The sequence below is a fragment of the Homo sapiens genome, chromosome 10 (genome assembly GCF_000001405.40).
Source record: "Homo sapiens chromosome 10, GRCh38.p14 Primary Assembly".
In the NCBI taxonomy this organism is placed as follows: domain Eukaryota; kingdom Metazoa; phylum Chordata; class Mammalia; order Primates; family Hominidae; genus Homo; species Homo sapiens.
The window spans coordinates 31,353,332-31,376,109 of record NC_000010.11 but is presented as its reverse complement, the minus strand read 5'-3'; the positions used below and the strand labels follow the sequence as shown (position 1 = coordinate 31,376,109).

Here is a 22,778-nt window from a genome sequence, read left to right as displayed (position 1 = left end):
TGATTTGCTATTCTATCTGTTAAATTTATTTAATAATGATCTCACTATAAATAGTAGCTCAGTATTTTTAGTAATAACTATTGCACATAAAGTTTTACATATTTATAATTGTCAATATGATGATTTTACGAGATGTGACATAAATTTCCTTCAAATAATCCTCGTGACTTATATCAGCAGGAACTCCTTCTTTTTAACTTCTTCATAACTTCTGCCAAATTCTTAAGAATGGATGTAGAAAGGCACCCCATTTTATTTCTACATTTAAAAGGTTCTTTCTCATATTGAACTAAAAACATTATTTTCCTTTCCATATCTATAAACAATAACTTTTATTTAAATTTTTCTCATTCGAACTTCCAATTCATTTCTTCTAACACCACTGTAATTCGCAACTCATTTCTTCTGAGAGTAGAAACTGCCAAATTCAAAACAAAAGCCATTACACTCCAACATACACAGCCAATCAGACACTGATTATTTCCTATATTGAGAAGTTATATAATTAAAAACTGATGACTATTGGTAGAATTTTGTTTTAGAAAGAAGTCAATTCAAATTCATTTTGATAAAAGAAATGCTATGTATCATCCTCCATCTGCAATATTTACATAATTATGTGTCTTAAATATCTTTTTGTGGCTAAATACCAAATTCTCCACTGGGCATCATGAACCCATCAAAGCCAACTAAACAGAACCAAAAAGAGCTGTCAAAGAAAAATGAATATCATGTACATTCCAAAGCACGTTACCCAGGAAGGAATATATTTCTTCAAGACACTCTTTCTGGAAGGTATGGGAAGGACATCTTTCTCCTAGCACTGACAAGGGGGACTGCCTGGATCTCTAAGTTGAGATCTTCAAATCAGAATACTTGAACTCAGGTTGGTGACTTTGAGTATATCCAGAAAAAAACTAAATTTAGAAGTCACTGCGGAGATGAAGCATAAACATTCAGACATCCAAATGCTCTTTGGATTTTATTTTCCAAAACGTAATCAACATGTATGCTTCTCTGTGTGTGTGTGTGTGTGTGTGTGTGTGTGTGTGTGTGTGTGTGTATGAAAAACATAAATGTCACATTCCCTTCTTTAAAAAGATAAAAAGATATAAAGTTGACTTGATTAAGGAAAATCATACTACCTTTAAAAATGTCTGCATGTAACAATTTTAAATTCAGTTGAGGAAATCAGTGTCCCTCTTCAGGGCTTTCCTTCTTGAAATCCTGTAAGAACTCTCCCGTAAGTGAAATTCTCACGTAAGAATGCTGCTTTGACAGGGTTTTGTTGTAAATTCTTAAGAAATCTAAGAAAATAGAATAGCAGCATAAAAAATGTATTTCTCTATGGTTAGAATTTAGTCTTTCTGATGCCTAGCTTAGCAGATATTAATAGAATTAACTTTAAAAGTTCAAAAGCAAGTTATCAATTCAATCTAATAAATAAATGTGTAGGTTCTGTGCTTTATTTATACACTAACTTTATTGTTCCTACCCTTATAGGAACTTATGCCATTTTATAGTATTGGTTCCAGTTGCAGTGTGTAATTATTATCTACACTGTAATTACCATTGGCACTGGAAGTTCAATAACAGGGAATATCTGTTTTTAACCCCACCATTTTATTCTCAGCACCTACCTAAATGGGTGACACATAGTAGACAGACTATACAAGTATGAATTACTAGACAGAGGGACTAAAGTATGAATGTTGCCATCTCAAGTACTTAGTTCACTGTAAACATTGGAATGATTACATAATGACAGATGCTGTGCTGGGTGCTTGTCACAAGAGCTCTTCCTGATATGTTTGTTATTAAGCTCTAGAAAACAGCTAAGAACATGGCCAGATTCAATTAACATAATTTTGACATCTCTAATTGGGCATGAAAAATTACTTAAACTATGTGAATCGCAAAAATCACGTATTTGACAATAGAATGGTTAACAGAATTATAATCTATTATTAATATGCTAATCTTCATCAGCCATTACCTTGTTATCACAAAACTACTATGTCCGTGGACATGCTGGAATAATCTCAGATAAACATCAATCTTAAAGATTTCAAACTTGCTAAGATCCTACCTCCACTCTTGTCCAAAGCTAACATGACTAATCATGGATCTGATTGGACACAGATGCCCAAAAAAAGGGATATGCAGGAATCAAATATATTCAGGAGAAAAATATAAATTTAAGGTCATCTGAAGTATATGAAAATGTAACCAAATTTAGAAATTATTTTCTCAGTGGGAGTATGTGTAAGGCAGGAGAGAGATGTCTGATTTTATCACCAAAATTTGATTCTGCGCCATATTATGAACAGCTACTTCACTTTGTTTTGGGTATAGAGTATAAACGTCTTATCTTACAAATTTAATAGTTTCCGCCAAAGTATAGTAGCAATTATACATTTTTAAAGAACTAATGTTAAACTAAATGGATTTTGTCATATGATATTATACTTTTTTCTTTCCTATTTTATAATGAAAGTAAAAAACCAAACAGCATTCAACAGACTACCACAAAATGCATGTCTATTTTAAGAAGCACTTATGAAACTGAACAGAAAAACTCAGTTTAGTACAAATTTTTTAGAAGTTAAACTTCAGTCAAGCAATTTTATAATATACTATTTTAAATAACTACAATAAAACTACAAAAATTGAATTTTTAAACCAGACATGAACTATATAATTGATTTTCCATACTTTTATACTATTTATCAACATTAAGTATGTAAAATCTCTTATCTATAAAACCATTCTTTGCATATATTTTATTAAAATATAAGTGACAGACATATAAAATTCAAACACTTGTCATTATGTCCTAGATTTTAAAAGTTCTAAAATTTTAATTCAAATATAATACATTGGTAGGCTTTACACACACACACACACACACACACAATTTAAATGAAAACTCTTACCATTGACTTCCTTTTGATAGTCACTCCATTAGTCTTTCTTGATAGTGCTTTCCTATGTCAAGCAGACAGTAGCCAAATCACAAAATGACATTTGGATGATCATGTCTTCAGATGGGAGTTTTCGGCCAATTGCCAGTTGAGAATTTAAACTGAAAACTAAATTACCCAAACTTTATTAAGTTGTTCCCACACCCACCAACTGATAAGAGCAATAACTCTAAACTGGAAAATAACGTGAATATGATTTGCCTCCTGTTCAAGCAGTCCTAATATTATATTTGAGAAGACATGCTATAATAAAAGAATCCCATAAAATTCTAGTATCTTCTGAAAACGCTTTTAAGAAAATTTCAATCCCTCACCAAAAAGTTACCCCAATTATCCTATAACCCAAATTAATACAAGATAAAAATGGTATTAGATTATATAATAAATTATTGAGTCACAAACTTAGGTTCTGTCAAGCACTGCCTTCACCTAAAAGCTAACTGTAATGTCTGGAAACACTCTGACAGTATCATCTATATTTATATTTATTAAATCATCAACTACTTGTAATAGTACATACCACAAGAAGTTAGAGGTTACACTTTAGCGTAATCCTGCCTGATCATGATACTTTTTGTACTGGGAAGACAAAATTTATCGTTACCAACTTCTAATTATAATATAAAAATGACTCAGCTCCTTTTCTGTACCAATTTAGGTTCTTTTTCTCTTGATTCTTACGGCTACTCTTCATAGGGCCTGTCATTTATATACGATTTTTGACCATAGGCTTTATGATTATTGGGTTGTACAGTCTGTTTTGATCCTTCTCAAGTATTAGACACATTAAATTATTCCCAAATGTTAAGATATATCTCAGTGTCCTAACATACTTTGTGCTCAGCTATAAGTTGGCCCATTTCAATAGTTATTGACAATTTAAGTCTTTAGCAAAAATACAATCAAATAAAGCTAAACTGAAAACATGAAGGAAAGAAAAACACGTCCTTATTTTCCTTAAAAAATGTTTCTGAATTTCAACTATAAAAGGTGCAAAATTAAGTGTACATAACTAGATAGCTATGTAAGACTCAGATGAGTTATAAACATTACACACACCTCAAATTCTCATATATTCTATGTGCAATCCTTCTCTCTCTCTCTCACATACATGTGCATGTGTACACATGCATGCATATCTATCCAGCCTATTTCTGATGTTTACCTATCAATAACCTGATACCAAGGCATTATATAAGAGAATATAAAGTGAATAATCCACTTATGATTAAGAGAAACTGACTTCAGAAACAAAGCCTAGAGCTTAATAAAACTGCTATGTCTTTGAGTTAATAACACTGACCCTCAGTTAGATATACTAGAAATAGCATTATTCTATTCATTCCAATAATTTAAATCCAAAATTCTCAATAGCAATAACACTTATAAACTATTCAGAGACTAACAAAGTTCTTTCCTGGGTGCTATGAGATATAAAGGAAAGGAGCTTATAACCTAAAATATGATGGGGGAGAGTGAGTGGTACATAAAGACACAGAAATGGATAGATTTCCAAGAGAGAAACAAGCACATTGAGGCAGTTTAATAGTTTGAATAGATTTATCACATGTGGGACTGATCTGAGAAGACTTTATATCAAGAAGCATTTTTTAAAGCAGAAAATACATAACGACGTTTTTCTTATTTAGCCTAATGAAACCCACAAAGCAAACTGTGATTAATACGGAATATAGCTATGGAAGTATTCATGTCCTCACTCTGGGAGAAGACCAAAGATAAATTCCTTAGTCAAATGAAATTACAGAACACAGAGATATCTCCTCCAACAACCCCCACCAAAAAATAAGGCTTTCTGTATTTCAGAAACAATTCTAAATTGCTCATTTCAACTCTTCCCAATGATTCCAATCATAATGGCTGTGATGTAATTATAAATCAGGAGACATAATGAAAAGTCACTATCAGATTACAAAATCATGAATTAAAAACCACAGAATGATCCTCTCGGTGTGAATAACATTACTGATAACACATCTACACAAGAAAGCTGGTTTCATGTTCCAGCAGACGATGATCATGAAGTGACTTGTGTTTTTATATAATCTTAAATATATTCTACTCATCCATTATAAGAGTCTTACAATTTGGCCAGGCATGGAGGCTCACGCCTGTAATCCCAGCAGTTTGTGAGGTCAAGGTGGGGAAGACTGCTTGAAACCAGGAGTTCAGACCAGCCTTGGCAACAAAGCAACACCCAGTCTCCGCAAAAATTTTTTTAAAAACAGTCTTAGAATTTAACACCACACACAATTTTACAAATAAAGAAACAGGTCCAGTCATATGACATTATTTACCCAAAGTCACACAACTAGCTGGCAGAAAAATCAAGACCTCTTAAGAACCACAGATGCTCCTTTTACTATAATCAAAGAAAGAAAGAGTTACACCTTAGAAAGAGATACAATTTTATTAGGAAAATTTCAACTTTTTAACCTACATACTCAATTTCAGACATTCACCTCATTAGCTCCGGAAATTGCAAAAAGTCAATTCATAAAGTTAGGGAAAGAAAGTTGTATGATTAACTTAAATTTTACACTTCTCTTTTTATACTATTAGCTTTAAGACATACATTCAACCTTATTTCCAACTCTTCAGACTAAGAATATGAGTTTTAAAAATACGTAAAATTTTTATCAAAACTCTCTCTAAAAATGGTAATTCCCTAGAATGTTCCATGGCATCACATCTATTTTTCGATCTCCTGACCTCGTGATCCACCTGACTTGGCCTCCCAAAGTGCTGGGATTACAGGCGTGAACCACTGCGCCCGGCCATCACATCTATTTTTCTTTCACATCCTGGCACCCTTTTTCATTGGATTGGGTAACAAAGTAAGCCTGCCATATGGATATCAGTAGAAACAGTCTTATCTTGACTGCTTCAGGTGACATAACTCATCCCAATTCTATATAAATGAGCAGCCAGAGAAGTTCAGGAAATTTGTAAACAGGAAATATAAAAAGAAATATCTGCAAATCATACATTTAATAAGGGGTTAATATCTAAAATATTTAAGTAACTCCAACATCTCAATAACAAAACAACAAATAACCCAATTTTTAAAAATGGGCAAAGAACCTAAACAGGCATTTCTCAGAAGACACACAAATGGCCAACTAGTACAAGAAAAAATGCTCGGCATCACTAATTACTAGAGAATTACAAATTAAAACCACAATGCATTATTACTTTACACCTGTTAGAGTAGCTTTTATCAAAAAGATGAAAGGTAAATGTTGGACAGTGTGTGGAGAAATGATAACTCTTATACAGTACATTGTTGGTGGGAATGCAAATTAGTTCAGCCATTATGGTAAATAGTATGGAAGTTTCCCCCAAAAAAACTAAAAATAGAACTACTGTATGATCTAGTGATCCCACTTCTGGTTATATAGCCAAAGGAACTGGAGTCAGTATGTCAAAGGGATATCTGCACTCCTATGTTCATTGTTGCATTATTTACAATAGCCAGGATACGGAAACACCTAAGTGTCTATCAATGGATGAATCAAGGAAATGTGGTATATACAGACAATGGAATACTATTCAGCATTTAAAAAGGGGAAAATTCTGTCATTTGCAACAACATGGATGAATCTGGAGGATATTATGCTAAGTGAAATAAGTCAGGCAGAGAAAAACAAATACCATATGATCTCACTTGCATGTGGAATCTAATAAGATTAAATTCATAGAAGTAGAGAATAGAACAATGGTTACCAGAGGCTAGGGTAGGAGGGTGGTGGGGGGAGTTGATCAAGGGGTATGAAGTTTCAGGTAGAGAGGAAGAATAAGTTTGAGATCTATTCCGTAGCAAGTTGACGAGAGTCAATAATAACGTTTTAAGTATTTCAAAATAATAAAAGCAAATTTCAAATGTCTCAATATGAAATATTATAGGTGAGGTGACAGATATGTTAATTAGCATAAGCACATCACACTGTATACATATATCAAAACATCACATTGTACCCCATAAATGTATGCAATTATGATTGGTCAATCAAAAATATTAATTCTACAAGAAAAATAAACAGGAGATTAAAAAAAGAAATAGTTGAAACACTTTAGATTTAGTTGTAAAGATATGTCCTCCACTAACTCAATTTAGATTCCACTGTCTGTTCAAAGTCAGAACTTACAAGATGTTTCTAGCAAAGCACAACATGCTTGTTAGTTCAACTGGTTTCAAAAGTCAGAGCACTTATTAGGCAACACCTAAAATCATTCATCAAAATTATTTTGGACAGGCAGTGATGGTAAACAAATTACTTCCACCATACCACCACCACAGCCACCACTTTCACTCCCTACTCCACTTCCCATAGTCTATGAACTAAAAGGGAACAAAATATTCTTATCATTTATTATTAAAAAGATAAAATATTTTAGCATATAAAACCAAATTTATCTTATGCTACTAAAACAGAAAATAAATGCTTAACGAGTTTTACTTGAATTACATTAAATCACAAAGTAACATCTCAATACACACACACATAATATTCAGGAAAAAAATTTAAAAAACAACAAAACAATAAAAAATAATACAAATAAAAATCAATATAATAGCTATTTACACAGCATTTGTATTGTATTAGGTATTATAAGTAAGCTAGAGATGATTTAACGTATACAAGAGGATGGGTGGGTGCAGTGGCTTATGCCTGTAATCCCAACACTTTGAGAGGTCAAGGTGGGAGGATCGCTTGAGCCCAGGAGTTTAAGACCAGCCTGGGCGACACAATGAAACTCTATCTCTACAAAAAAGTTCAAAAGTTAGCTGGGCATGGTGGTGCGTGCCTGTGGTCCCAGCTAACTTGGGAGGCTGAAGTGGGGGGATCGATTGAGCCCAGGAGGTCGAGGCTGCAGTAAGCCATGATTGTACCAGCGCACTCAAGCCTGCGCGACAGAGCAAGACCATGTCTCAATAAATAAATAAATAAATAAAGTACATGAGAGGATATGCATAGCTTACATGCAAATACTGTGGGACAGTATTTGGATTTTGGTATCTGAGGGTGTCCTGGCACCAACCACCTGAGGATACTGAAGAATGACTATACATATAGACACACATCCATATAGAGTAAATATATATGCATCTACGTGTGTATGTCTATGTGTGTGTGTATATATATATATATAGTATATAATAAAGCACTCTTCCTAAAATCATGTATTTTAGAAAGTGTAATTATTTAAAAATTTTCCTCAATGTTCTACGTTTTTGGGTGCATGCTTACTTTTTCACCAAGAATTGTGACAGGCTTCCTAAAAGCAAGAGCAAGTATCTATATTTAGGTCTAGTTGTTGAAGTATTCCTATATAGAGTCAGCATATTGATACTTCAATTTATATAAGAACCAGTTTACATTCATATCATTCACATCACTTAAAGCAATCCTTTAGAAAGTGAGTTTAAAAACTATCAACCAAAAAAATATGCCTCATCCTTTTCATGGATTCTTGACCTATTTATAAGAAAGTCATTTTGGCGACAAGTTACTTAATTTATATCTGCCACAGTTTCTCCATTTGTATAATGAAGATAATAGCGTATTACCACATAGGCTTGCTGTGAACATTAGGTTAATAGTTGCAAACTGCCTAGAAAAGTGCAGTAAGTACATCATAAGCCTTCGAAAGCAGAGCTAATACAATCATCATCATCATCACTACCATTATCACTACTACCACCACCTTCATAAGCATCTCAACTGATTGTTAGTAAAAGTGTAGAGTCCTAGGCCACACTCCCAGAGATTTCAATTCAGTATCACACCAAAGTTGGGGAATATTGTGTTAAAGAGAAAGGGGAATAGATAAATAGCCAAGACACTACGTATACCAGTATCATCTTATAAATACAGTAACGGGAAGCAAAATACTTTAAAACAGAAAAAGCTTCAGTTTTAAAAGTCCAGTAACACCTTTACTTCCTCCTCTAAAATACACACAACTTATCCCCAAACCCAGTGGTTGCTTTCCAATGACCCTACTACTCAAGAGTAGATAGGATACAGAAATAAGTAAGAGGTCCCGGGCTCAACAAAGAGTTGAAGAAGCTTATATACTTCATTACTTCTTGGATAGAGAATAGCTAGCAATTTCACACAAAAATATTTGTGAGTAGAGCAATTATCAAATATTTGAGCACTAACTGTATGTGGAATGCTAAAGGGGACTGAACTATAAGACATTAAACTTTCCTGGAATCGCACTGGGAAAATAACCTCCCACTTTCTTCCAAGGATCACTGGAGTCTTGCTCCAGCTCAAGCAGTATACGCTGGGAACTCAGAGAAGAGATTTTAGTTAGGGTCGATAGGAAGGCTTCATAGAAGAAAAAGATCTTTGCTAGACCTCATAATGACTAAGATTTTTATAGATAGAAATTGCATTTCAGGTCAAAGAAAACAGTGTGAGCACAAAGCAGAAACTTGGAAGTACTACAGGTATTTCAGGACAGTACGTTGAATATTTGCCAACACTGGAAAGGATGGTTTTATTCTCTGCTCAAAAATCTAATTAGTACTTCAGGAAGATTGTTTTAGCAATGGTGTACATCATGGGGTATGTTATGATAGTGTAACCCTGGCTTTGAAAATGGACAGAGACAGGAATCTAAAGGATTATTTAAATTATGGCCAGGCGCAGTGGCTCACGGCTTCTAATCCTAGCACTTTGAGAGGCTGAGGTGGGAGGATCACTTGAGTCCAGGAGTTTGAGAGGAGCCTGCGTGACACAGCAAGACCCTGTCTTTACAAAATTAAATAAAACAAAACAAAATTAATTAATTGGCAGTGAGGACAAATTAGGTATCAAAGATGATTTAAGTATTATGTCTGTTTTTTTCTGGAACTTCCCAGTCTGTCCTGGTATATTCAAGATGAAGGAGATGGTAGACAGTGAGAGCTATAAAAAGTAAGTTCAGGGCTAGTCAGAGAGATTTTAGATTGGGGGAAAGGACTAACCTGTGGGAGCAAAGGTAGAGAGCAGTTTGAGCAAAGACTTGAAAGCGGGAAAGTGCAAACATTATTCTCAGGTTGATTAGCTCTGATTTGCTAGAGCCAGCAGCTCGCAACTGCCTTTTCTTTCCAATGCATCAAAAGGCCCTAAACGTGTTACTGAGGAAGAAAGAAGAGGCAAAACGGTTTAATGCACAGAATGCCTGTAAATGATGGTAACCTGGAGTTTAAATTAAATATTAAATTATGTTCCCTATATTCAGTAGAGCATACAAATGTATTTCGATATAGCTGATCATGTAAAATGTTCACAAATTTGGCCTGGCCAACAACAAAAATCAACAATAAAGCTTTGCTATATTCAATCTCACCCCTACTTTTTCAAAAAATTTTAATAAGCAATTTTTGTGGAATTCATTATATTACACATATGGATCTTCTCAATCGAGTGATTCATATGACTGTTAAATAGCTCCTTAAAGATAGAGGCCATGCTTTTCTTCTTTTTTCCCTCTGGTACTATCAAAACTCAACAGTATAAGGTATGGATTTAGTATACTTATTAAATGAAAGATATCCTATAATATGACCTGTGAATGGATTAAATAAAAGGTATGTACAGTTATAAAATTCCATAACAACAGACATGCAATTTATTTTTTTATTTTTTAACTTCTTGCCTTTTAATAATATCTTTGAATATAGATGGTTTCAATTCTCCAATAACAAGATGTAGAGTGGCCAAATGGTTTTTCATACATGTTTCCCTAGTCCAGACACCCAAGAGTATGTCCCTCTCTTGGGCATAAGAAAACCTAGAGTTATATTTAGGGCATCATGTGTGGTGAATAGTTGACCAAGCTGGCATGCTCACAATGACCAAATTATGTTTGTCATATTTTAATCCAATACATTGATCTACTATGAACTTGTAAATAATCTATTTGCTTTCTAGACACATTCCAGGAAGACCAGAGAAACTGACTTTTATCCATATGGAATAATCCACTGGCAAATTTCTTTTAGGACAGACCAAAGCTGATCTATAACATAATCTTTACATACTTGGATCCTTCCCATCAGACGAGAAAGAACATCTGGGGTGAAAGGCTCCATTAGAAGAGCAATGTGGGATGGTGCTGTGCTGACAACTGGTAGTTCCTGCCCTACGTCTTTGTAGAGGACTGGAGCCCAGAGCATGCCATGGTCAACTCGTATGTTGAAGTGAAGACCTCCTTCGAGGTGTGCATGTGCTTATTACAGATATGCCACGGTGCTAAGTACCCCAGGACTACATGAAAAAATAAGAATAGATGCTGTATCCATGATCATGAGGCACACAGGCCAGAGCGCCAGCTGTGGAATCGCACAGCCTGGGTTCAAAGCCTGGCTGGGCCATGACCACCTGAATGACCTGAGGAATGGTCTCAGGCAAATTTGTAAAAAGTGGAGACCCTGCCTGCCAGGGAGGCATGTGGTAAGAGGTGCATCCAGTCAGGTCAGGGCACTGCGTCCTCTCTTTGGAAACCTGCGGAGCAAGGCTGGTGGCCCTTGAGGCCACGGCAGCCATGGAGAAGGCGGGCCTGGCTCCAGGTGGCACAGAGGCACTGGAGAGGCCCCGGGGAAGCCTGGCGCGATCTGGCTGGTCCTGCGCTCTGCTTCCAGGTTCTGGCCCTGTAACCTGGGGGACAGGGCCGGCCAAAACAGGGCCACTGGGTGCTAGCCAGCACCTGGGCCAGGCGCCAGGTGGAAGGGCTCTGGCGGATCAGCCTCGCACCCCCAACAGCCCCACAGGGGGGCCCATCCAGGGCCACACACTTGCCCCCAGGAGCAGGATATCCCTGAGGCTAGAGTCCAGCTGGACCGGTGGAAGGGTCTCACCCTTTGCCCTTTGACTCCTCTTGTAGGCACCCTCGCTGGGCTCCTAAGCACTCCTCCACACACTGGCTCTGTCACCAGCCCCATAGTGATGTCATAAACTCCCAGATGCCCAGTGTGCACCCAGCCACAGAGAAGTGGGTGACTTAGGAGTATCCTCTCCGCTTCTGACCCTTAGTTTCGTCTGTGCACAACTCACTCAAAATGGGCAACTCGCTAAGCGTATTTTGTTCCTGGTTCTGCCGCAGGTCCTGGCCATGCCATCGGCAACCTGCTCGTCTTGTCCGTGAGGCCTTCCCAGCTGGCCGGGCTCACCCTGCAGCTCCTGCACCTGTGCCTGCCCGGGGAATTGTGGGCCGTTTCCCACTCCTCTTCAACCGTCAGCGACATCTTGGGCCTTCTTTTCCAGTCAGGTGGGACGGCGCCCCTATGAGGCTGTGTCTTATCCCTCGGAACACGGGCACCCCACAGAGGGTCCTGCGTCCTGTGGTCTGGAGCCCCCCCTCAAGGAAGAAACCCGTGCTGTCTCCTCACAACTCCATAATGTTTGGACACCTCAGCCCCGTAAGGATCCCTTGTCTCAGAGGCAAGTTTAACCTTCAACTTCCTTCATTAGATGATCAGGTGATCCCAGCCAGGCTCCCGAAGACGGAGGTGAGCGCAGAAGAGCCCAAAGAAGCAACAGAGGTGAAAGACCAGGTAGAGACCCAGGGGCAGGAGGACAATAAAAGGGGCCCCTGTAGCAATGGGGAAGCAGCCTCCACCTCTAGGCCCCTGGAGACTCAGGGAAACCTCACTTCTTCCTGGTACAATCCCAGGCCCTTGGAGGGAAATGTCCACCTCAAGAGCTTGACAGAAAAGAATCAGACTGACAAGGCCCAGGTGCATGCAGTGAGTTTCTACTCCAAGGGCCATGGAGTCGCCAGTTCACACAGCCCTGCTGGAGGCATCCTTCCCTTTGGGAAGCCTGACCCACTTCCAACAGTGCTCCCTGCCCCAGTTCCGGGCTGCTCCCTGTGGCCAGAGAAGGCGGCCTTGAAGGTGCTGGGTGAAGACCACCTGCCCAGCTCTCCAGGCTTGCTGATGGTGGGGGAGGACATGCAGCCCAAGGATCCTGCAGCTCTTGGATCAAGTAGGTCTTCTCCACCCAGAGCTGCCGGCCACAGGTCCCACAAAAGAAAACTGTCGGGGCCACCGCTGCAGCTGCAACCGACCCCTCCCCTGCAACTGAGGTGTGATAGAGACGAGCGGCCCCCACCGGCAAAGCTTCCATGTCTATCTCCTGAGGCACTGTTGGTGGGTCAGGCTTCCCAAAGAGAAGGACGCCTCCAGCATGGCAACATGCGTAAGAACATGAGAGTGTTAAGTAGAATATCAAAATTCAGGAGACTAAGACAGTTGCTTAGGAGGAGAAAGAAGACACGGCAGGGCAGGCGTGGTGGCTCATGCCTGTAATCCAGCACTTTGGGAGGCCCAGGCGGGCGGATCAGGAGATCAAGAGATTGAGACCTGAGGAGCATCTCTGCCTGCACCATCTGGGAAGTGAGGAGCGCCTCTGCCCTGCTGCTCCACCATCTGGGAAGTGAGGAGCGCCTGTGCCCGGCCACCGCACCATCTGGGCAGTGAGGAGCGCCTCTGCCCGGCCCCCGCCCTGTCTGGGAAGCGACAAGAGCCTCTGCCCAGCAGCCTCACAGTCTGGGAAGTGAGGAGCGCCTCTGCCCAGGCCCTGCCCCGTCTGGGCAGTGAGGAGTGCCTCCGCCAGGCCGCCGCCCTGTCTGGGAAGTGAGGAGCGCCTCTGCCCAGCCACCGTCCCGTCTGCGAAGCGAGGAGTGCCTCTGCCCGGCCCCCCTACACTCTGGGAAGCGAGGAGTGCCTCTGCCCGGCCCCCCTACACTCTGGGAAGTGAGGAGCGCCTCTGCTCGGCCACCGCCCCGTCCGGGAAGTGAGGCGCGCCTCTGCCCAGCCGCCCACTATCTGGGAATTGAGGAGGAGCGCCGCCTCTGCCTGGCCTCCACCCCATCTGGGAAGTGAGGAGCACCTCTGCCCAGCTGCCTCACAGTATGGGAAGTGAGAAGCGCCTCTGCCCAGCCGCCGCCCCATCTGGGAAACAAGGAGCGCCTCTGCCCCGCCGCCGTCCTGTCTGCGAAGTAAGGAGTGCCCCTGCCCGGCCTCCTCACCGTGTGGGAAATGAGGAGCGCCTCTGCCCCGCCGCCGCCCCGTCTGCGAAGCGAGGAGTGCCTCTGCCCAGCCTCCTCACCGTCTGGGAAATGAGGAGCGCCTCTGCCCTGCCGCCGTCCCGTCTGCGAAGCGAGGAGTGCCTCTGCCCGGCCTCCTCACCGTCTGGGAAATGAGGAGTGCCCCTGCCTTGCCGCCGTCCCGTCTGCGAAGCGAGGAGTGCCTCTGCCCGGCCTCCTCACCGTCTGGGAAATGAGGAGCGCCTCTGCCCTGCTGCCGTCCTGTCTGTGAAGTGAGGAGTGCCTCTGCCTGGCCTCCTCACCGTCTGGGAAATGAGGAGCGCCTCTGCCCGGCCACCGTCCCATCTGGGAAGTGAGGAGCGCCCCTGCCCAGCCGCCGCCCTGTCTGGAAAGTGAGGAGCACCTCTGCCCAGCCCCCTCACCATTTGTAAGGGAGGAGTGCCTCTGCCCAGCCCCTGCACCGTCTGGGAAGTGAGGAGTGCCCCCACCCGGCCCCCTCACCATCTGGGAAGTGAGGAGGGTCTCTGCCTGGCTGCTGTGCAACCTTCCAAGTGTGAAGTGACAGCCTTGTGTGTGATCTTTCTGCCCTCCCCAGGTTTGCATTTTCGACATTAAAGTTTACTTTTTAATTTAAAAAAAGGAGATCAAGATCATTCTGGCCAACATGGTGAAACTCCGTCTCTACTGAAAATACAAAAATTAGGCGGGCATGGTGGCTTGTGCCTGTAGTCCCAGCTACTCAGGAGGCTGAGGCAGGAGAATGGCTTGAACCCGGGAAGTGGAGGTTGCAGTGAGCCGAGATCGCACCACTGCACTCCAGCCTGGTGACAGAGCAAGACTGCGTCCTGAAACGATGTTGTAGTTGAGAGCAGGATGGTCTTTTGGGACAGGAGGAACAAGAGGTTCTGGTTGCCACTCTTCAATCAGTTCTTCTTTTTCCTTGACTGTAAGATCAGATCGTTCTTGTAATTTGTAAGTCTTAGAGAAAAGAAGTCTGATTATCCAGAGTATCAGAATCCCTTCCAAAATAAGATGGTAAGCAGGAGCCTTGTAAAGCGCCTGTACCATCTCCACCAGAACCCACTGCTCCGTGGCGGTCGCCATAGTTAGCTGCTTCCTCCAGACATGCAATTTATTAGAGCATCCATGCAGTACTGTTTCAGGTTACTGCAGCTCACTGTAACGCCACTACTGTGGCACTAGTAAATGCAAAATGGCCTTGAGAACTCTGTGAGATTTTACTTTAAGTGTATATATGATTTCTAGGTATTTACCTTTGCATTTAAAAAAATCACTCACTAATTTACGAACTCTCTGGGGATATTCATAAAATATTTCAACGTGATTAGACTCGGATAAAAAAACTGTTTTCCATGTTTATTTAAAATATATTTCTTGCATCTAAATTTATATTTTCAGTCTCCAAAATATTTCAGCACATTTTATTCATCTGATCCACTGAATTAACCAATAATATCTTGTCACATACCATTCATTTCTGAATAATTAAAGAGATCTTAACAGCTGTCATATTTTAGGGATACTGACCCTTTAAACCTTATAGCATCATACTAAAATAGGCAAATACCATTTCCAAAGTAAGTGGGTCATTTATCTTAAAGTATAAGGAAAGGAACTAGCATTTGTTAAAATACCTCCTAAACTATATCCATTATATTTAATCCTTACAACCGTGAGAGATAGTATATACAAACCCATTTTGCAGTTGTGAACTTGCTTAAGGTCTCACAGCTATTAAATTATCCTGTTTTAATTCCCATCATGTTTGTCTAGCTCCAAGTCTAAGCTCATCCTTCTTACAATAACTACCTGGAACACTGCCAAGTACCATGTTAAAAAAGAGACTATGGCATAAAGGGGCAGGAGCAGGGGCACAGGGCAGGACTTAGTGAAGTAAAAGCAAACATTGTAAAGTCCAAGTACTTTACTCATTGAAGTGCTCTTCAAATCTATTATGAACATTCTTTCTCTTACTTTATTCACAGACACCCTTCTCTGTACACTAGTAGCTATCAGAATTAATATCAAGCTTTGAAAAAACAGACACTTTATACAAATGCAAAGCAACAATAGCTACTGAGAATTATTTTTGAAAGGACAAATGGCCCTATGACATACCTCAGTAGCCCTGAGGCAGTGTCTTCCTGAATACACTGTCTTAAGAAATTTTCATCAACAATCCACAGTCACTATATTTTATAACAAGAGGGGTTGAGATTAACTATTCTAGCAATCAAAGAAGATAGGTGTTTGTTATCTGGAAAATTTACTAACTGAATGTCCAATGATGCTATGAATAAAGATGAATAAAATTTTGATTTTTCTAAAAAAATTCAGGAAGTATCTATGGTATCATTTTGTACTTTCCAAACAGAATAGAGTGTACAAATTATAAATATAGTTAATAACATCAGTTAGTAATAAACATAATTAAAAGCATTACAAACATAGAGAAAAATATTAAAAATTCCAAAAGGTATAAGGTTCTTAATTTTAAGAACAGAAAAACCATGGTTCCTGTGTTAACAGAAGCTGGCAGTAAACATACCCCTTTCAAAGTTAAAAGAGTATTTCAGAATGGAGTTTTAGAGCCTATAGCACTTTATAAATGAAGGTGGAATTTTTGTTACTCCAATGTACTCCTTTCTTCTTTCCCTCTCTTTCCCTGCCCTTACCTCTATATCATAACACATAAGAGTTCTCATTTTACTTTAAGAAAAATGCTATCTCATCTAGTATAAAAAGGTGAGACAACTTTGCATTTTAAATTAACATAGGGTCTTTAGGAGTTTTGAGGATTTCAATACCAAAATGCATACAGGTTGGATCTTTAAAAACTGTTACAGCAGAAGTGCCAAAACACAGTCTCTCTAGCATTTTGAACAAGGTTTCACAATAATTAGCACTGCAGTAGGTAATTTAACATGTGTGACCTTTTGTATAGTAACAATTCTAAATAACAGCCAAGAGCACAGTCATTTATTTGTTTGTTACCTTGATTTGGGGCAAAACGACACAAGAAGACCAGTTCTACACAAAGAATTAACACAGTACTGTGCTAATATAAGTAAATAAAGTTTAGTTCAAAGAGAAACAAATAATAAAAAGTCAAAGAGAGAACTGAGCTGGCAACTGAGAAGCATAAACCATTTTGGCCTACATTTGTTTGTAATGACTATGTGACCCAGATACTAAAATATTTGGCTAACATTCAGAAATCTAGCAACTGAAAGAAATAAGATATATGGTTGGCTGGTTAAATATTTTAGCCAAAATAACAGATTCTTAAAATCATGCATTATTATAGTATTTTCTACACAGAAAATTTTTAAACTTTAAAAATAAGTATTTCTTTTTTGCTTTGTAAATTATCCCATAAATTATACTTCACCTTTATAATCAGACAATAAAGATGACACTATTTACTACAGAGGTTATGATACAAAACTCCTTTGGAGAGAAGAGCTGAGAGAAAATATACTTTTTAAAAGTAATTTATTTAAGAAACTGTATTTTCCTAAACTATCTTTGTTCCATTTATGGCCTGCATAGTTTACTCTACAGACAGGTGTCTATTAAATGAGAAGAGAATTTTTGGGAAAAAAAAATTCTTCAACTCCGAACTATATAAGCTCTGCTAATGAGGGTGCTTGAAACACAGGAGTCAGAGAGTAGATTCACTAGGGACTCGACTTCATACTTACAGGCTTGATGGGGGAAGGTGGTGTTTCACATAAGTAAAAAACGTAATACACAATCCTTAATGCAACTGTGGTGGACCATGCTGAGAGCCTATCCAACGCTTCCTTCTTCCTAATGATCCATGATTGGATTTCTATATCCACATCTCTCCCAGTGGTCAATGCGCCTCAGGGTAAGCTGACTGTCCTGAGCTGCAAGGGTAGACCACAATTAATCTAATCCATTATGGTAAGCTCATCCCTTTTGCCAACGATTAGTTAAGGCATATTTAGAATTAAGCTAATTTAGGACAATAAGGAGCAAGTTGGGGGCAGGAGTGCATAAGGACTTCTCAGAGAAAAGAACCTATATTGCCCATGAGAACGCCAAGAGAAGTTTATTTCTCTCTTTGGATCTGAAGGAGGAAACACACAATCCTGATTGCAGCCAGCAGCCATTTGGCAACTACAGTGTTGGGATAAAGGAAATATTATGGATAAAGAGTAGAGTAGACGACAAACTGAGTCCTTGAAAAAAATCACTGAGCCACTGGCGTAACTAATCCTAATATATGTATTTTCTTATGTGAGCTAACCAATATTCTTTTTATTTAAGCCAAATTAGACTAATTTGGAAACTAATTAGCTATTAGGAAACTAACAATTGCCAAGTTCTATTTTCATTACTTTTAGAAAACTTTAGAATTTTACCCATTCCTAGCTTTAAAAAAAAACCATATGCTACTTTTTGTATATTTTCCTGATTTCCTACAGTGATTGTGTATTACATGTGCTATTGGGAGCAGAGTTATTCAATCTTAGTGTACCAATATGACCTCTTCTTGATCATCAGTATAAAAAATTATGCTTTTAGTCTAGTAATGCTTTCAGGGGCCCATGATGTACTCAGATCGCTATGTTCTTATAGCCTGATTTTGCTCCAATATCAACTGTCTCTTGTTCCTGCTGTACTCTGCTCACAACAGTTTCAGAGAACCACTACACTCTCATCTACAGTTCATTGGTTCTCTACGCCCTGTGCATTCTCATCCTACTCTGAGTTCCCAGTTATACACACGCAGATGGCTGAAGTTGCTAGAAGTATGTTCTGAAGCATATGAAAATTATTCTCAGGACAGTGAATTTCTTTTTGAACTTAGTTTAAAAATATAACCTAGATAACTAGTTTTGTACTTCTTTTAAAAAGTATCTCATTTATGCCTTCCCTTCCTCCCTTCTTTTGGCATTCACTTTTCCTAGAAATACTTTTGACCTCTTACTTTTAAATAGATATTGAAGATTTCTATATGGTCAAGGCTATAAAACAACAGCCTATGGGCCAAATATATTTAACAGGTCGATTTTGCCCTGTAGAGTTATTGTCACAGAGTATCTTAAAAACACCTAAATTAATTACCAACTAATTTACATAAAAATCTGTATTTTAGGATCCTTTGGAAAAACTGAAATATTGGGTAACAATCAGCCTGAATACTCCCATGATCACCATCAGATGGAGCAGAATATTAGCTGTCCCTCTACTCAGTTAGATGAGCACAAATTCTCTAAAGCCCCAGTCTCATTATTATTTCCCTAAATGGCCTAATTCTTTATAGTTAAGGCCCGTATAGGTAGTTGACTATGGTATCCCTGATACAACAGGCTAGTAACAGCCATAGGTACATGAAAGAAATAAGATTGGTTAAGAAAGTACAGAAGTTCATAAGGAATTCTGTGAAGTCTGTTTCCAAAATGTTTCCTCCGGCATCTTTTAATTTAACCAGCAGTCTATCTCTAGAGCCAATGATCCAGCAATAAATTCTCTGAATAATCATGAAAAAAGTGTTTCTTAATAGAAAGCTATTTGAAACAAAAGGGTTAAATTCTTCATGTAAGTTTCAATCAATCAACCAATAGGAAAATCCTAAAGAGTCACCTTCCAAATCTGATATTCATTAATAAGTGGTGTAAACAAGATGACCTGCACTATATATATATATATATACACATCATATATGTCCAAAATTACTTATGTGTTTTATGTATAAATCAGGAAGTCAAATTATCTTTTAAAACTAAGTTCTCCCTATACTCCCTATATTAGTTAATGAAGTCAAACAATAACAAGAATTAGCACAATTCAAAAATTATTTTTTAAGGAACGATGTTTTCTAAATTATATTTATAATATAGTCACTTCCTCCTAACATTAAGTACAAGTTACCTGAAAGTATTTTAGAGATAATCTTATAATCAGATTCTATAGGTGGAACAATAACAATACTATTAATAGTTTTACATTTCTGTCAAATACAAGGCTTTGTTCACATCCCAAATTTCAAATCTATTCCCTTCTCTCCAGCTCCACTGCTGTAACCATCATCTCCAACCTGGCCTACCGAAATAGCATCTAACAACAATGCTTCTATATATACTATAGTCAGACTCATGATTTTCAAATGAAAAATTTAATCATGGCATACCCCGATGCTTAAAACCTTTCCATGGTTTCCCAATATCCCTTAGGATATAGGTCAAAAAATCCTGAAGAATGCATAATCTCTTTCCTACATTCTTCTCTACATTTACTTATCCTTCTTTTCAACGCTCACACTGGAATCTTTTCAGTTCTTCCTTTTACTTTTGTAGATGCTATTTCTGTTGCCTGCAATGTTCCATCCTAACCCTTCTCCTAATTCCTAGGCTTAAGCTAACTCATGCTGATTCTTCCAATCTCAGCCCAAAAGTTATTTCTCATGTCCTACCCTCAGTTCACATTCAACACTCCCCCACCATCCCAGAGCAGGTTAAGTCCGCCTGTTATATTCTTTCCTATCATCTTACAATTTCTCCCTTAATGCTCATCTTAGTTATAATTATTTGTTTAGTTCCAAAGCTGCTGGTTTCGTGAGGACATGGAAAGATATCTGTCTTGTTTACTGTGTTACACTATCATTTAACACAATGACTGGCAAGAATAGCATTTAATAAATATTTGTTGAATAAATGAGTCTCATTAAATCAAACCCACAGATAAATGAATTATTGTTGAAAATGCAGCATAGTATACAGCACAAATATCTGGAAGTCCTGAAGACCTGGTTCATGATTCCAGGTGGACTACTTGCTGTATGACTTTAGGGCTCAAACACCCAGATTCTTTACCTTAATAAGAATATTATCCAATGCCTGCTCTGTCTTCCTTAAACAGCTGCTGAGAGAAAAAAAGGAATAATTTACTTTCTCAACTCTTAAAGCACATTTTTTTCACAGTAACATTTTTCAAATCAATAGGAGTCTTACCAAAGATATCAAAAGAACTTTTAATAACAAAGGAGATACTATACAAAATACTATAATGCTTTGTATTACACCCACGTGTATTATTGTATCTCTGTGTGAACTTAGACATGACTAAGAATTTACCTTCTGTTCACTTATCAGCATCAACAGAACTATGCACAGCTAAATTTTAACTTAATTTGAAATCCCTAAATTACCTCTTAAAATGTCTTTTAAAGATCACTATAATGCAGCATTGAAACAAAAAGTTATTATACATGCAGAACTTTCTGTGACATGTGGCTGAATTATGTTTAATGAAGGTTTCACAAGTGATAATTCTGAGCAGATACCAAATATCTGGCTGTTAAAGTCTTCTGGATGACTTTCAAGAGAAGTTATTTAACTTCTAGTGAAATGTAATATAATTAGTAAAAAAATTTTAATTAAATAGGAAATGGAAACCTCGCCAAAGTAATTCCTGGACATGGCTCAGAACGACACTATCAATCCTAAAAGTGTTAAAGATCAGGAAGAGCAGCATTTGCTACAGTGCCTATGGCCCAAAGGAATTCAGAATAATCCTTAGAAAAATTCTCCTCCTCCCCCAAGAAAAGTGTTTTATTTTTCCAAAAAGAGACATTAAAAAGTTGTTATGAAATCAAAGAATGTGCCTTACAATTGATGAGCTTTTAGAATCGAGAAAATATAGTAATATGCATGAACATATTCTTTAAATTAACTGCTATACAAACAGGTAATTTTAAAGGTGCCCACTTTGTGCTAAGTACAAAAAAAGTGCTTTATATAAAACTTAAAAGCTTCTCCCAAAGTCACTTATAAAGTCAGTGTTTGAAAATGAAAAGATGAAATGGGATTCCAATATCATTGTTTCAGAAGAAATAAAATGTTCCCCCTAACGCTGAACAGACAGACTTGACAAAACTAAATCCACTTCTTTTGCTCTGTTCCCACTTTAAGCACTGCCCACATAATTCATAACACTGTCATTTGTTAAATTCTTTAAAATATTCTGAGAAACTAATTCTAATATCTAATCACTAGCATCCAAAAGTTCTTTGTGTCTATCCTCATTCTTTCAATTATTATATTCAATGTAATATTTCACTTGATTTTGTATTTTGCTGATACTGTTTTAAGCAATATTCACCTCAGTCTTATCTTCAAGAACAAATCAGGACATGTGCTTTCAGTTAATCTTCTGTAAGTAGTAGTACTGGTTTTCTGTGACTCCTTCTCCTGGTGACCAAAACTATGTATTGCCAATATGACAGGTTGGTGGTGCTGGTGACTAATGAGACTAAAACCAACAAAGCTGACTCATAATCAAACCTTTGACTGTGACTATTCAGTACCTGTTTTAAAATATTTTATCTCTATTCCTTCTTTAGAAATGATCATTGGAAAATTATCTCTTTAGACTTCTTTCTCTGATTCAGTATCTTAATCTCTTTGGCTAGGTACTTGTCAATTTGATCATAAACAAATTCTGGAATTGACCTAAAAAGATGGCTTAGGAAAGCTGTAAGATTTTTCTGCAAAATAGAAGGTAGAACAGAATGTAGAACTATGGCAAATAGCCACTTGTTTCTACCAATTAGTAGCTCATTACATTGTGAGTAGCCTATATACAGTGGTTTATAAAGAATTCTAGCATTAGACAGATGCTTGTATTAGAAGATCTATAAATTATGTTAATGTTATAAACTTTATTCAGATTGGA

At 38.2% G+C, this 22,778-nt stretch overlaps 1 protein-coding gene and 2 pseudogenes across 55 annotated transcripts in view; 1 reads left to right on the top strand and 2 right to left on the bottom strand.

Annotated features, from left to right (window-relative positions):
* Positions 1-22,778, bottom strand: part of ZEB1 (zinc finger E-box binding homeobox 1) — a 211,388-nt gene that overhangs the window by 153,695 nt on the left and 34,915 nt on the right. For 6 of the 55 annotated variants that reach the window (NM_001323646.2, NM_001323642.2, NM_001323650.2 and 3 more), the window contains exon 2: positions 2,937-3,092. The exons of 30 other annotated variants lie outside the window; for them this stretch is intronic. The gene's annotated coding sequence lies outside the window, so the exon portion shown is untranslated. 19 more of the 55 variants (NM_001323638.2, XM_047425691.1, XM_047425687.1 and 16 more) reach the window with 11 other exon arrangements.
* LOC100505502 (POM121 transmembrane nucleoporin like, pseudogene) lies at positions 12,061-13,311 on the top strand (annotated as a pseudogene).
* Positions 14,896-15,197, bottom strand: SPTLC1P1 (serine palmitoyltransferase long chain base subunit 1 pseudogene 1; annotated as a pseudogene).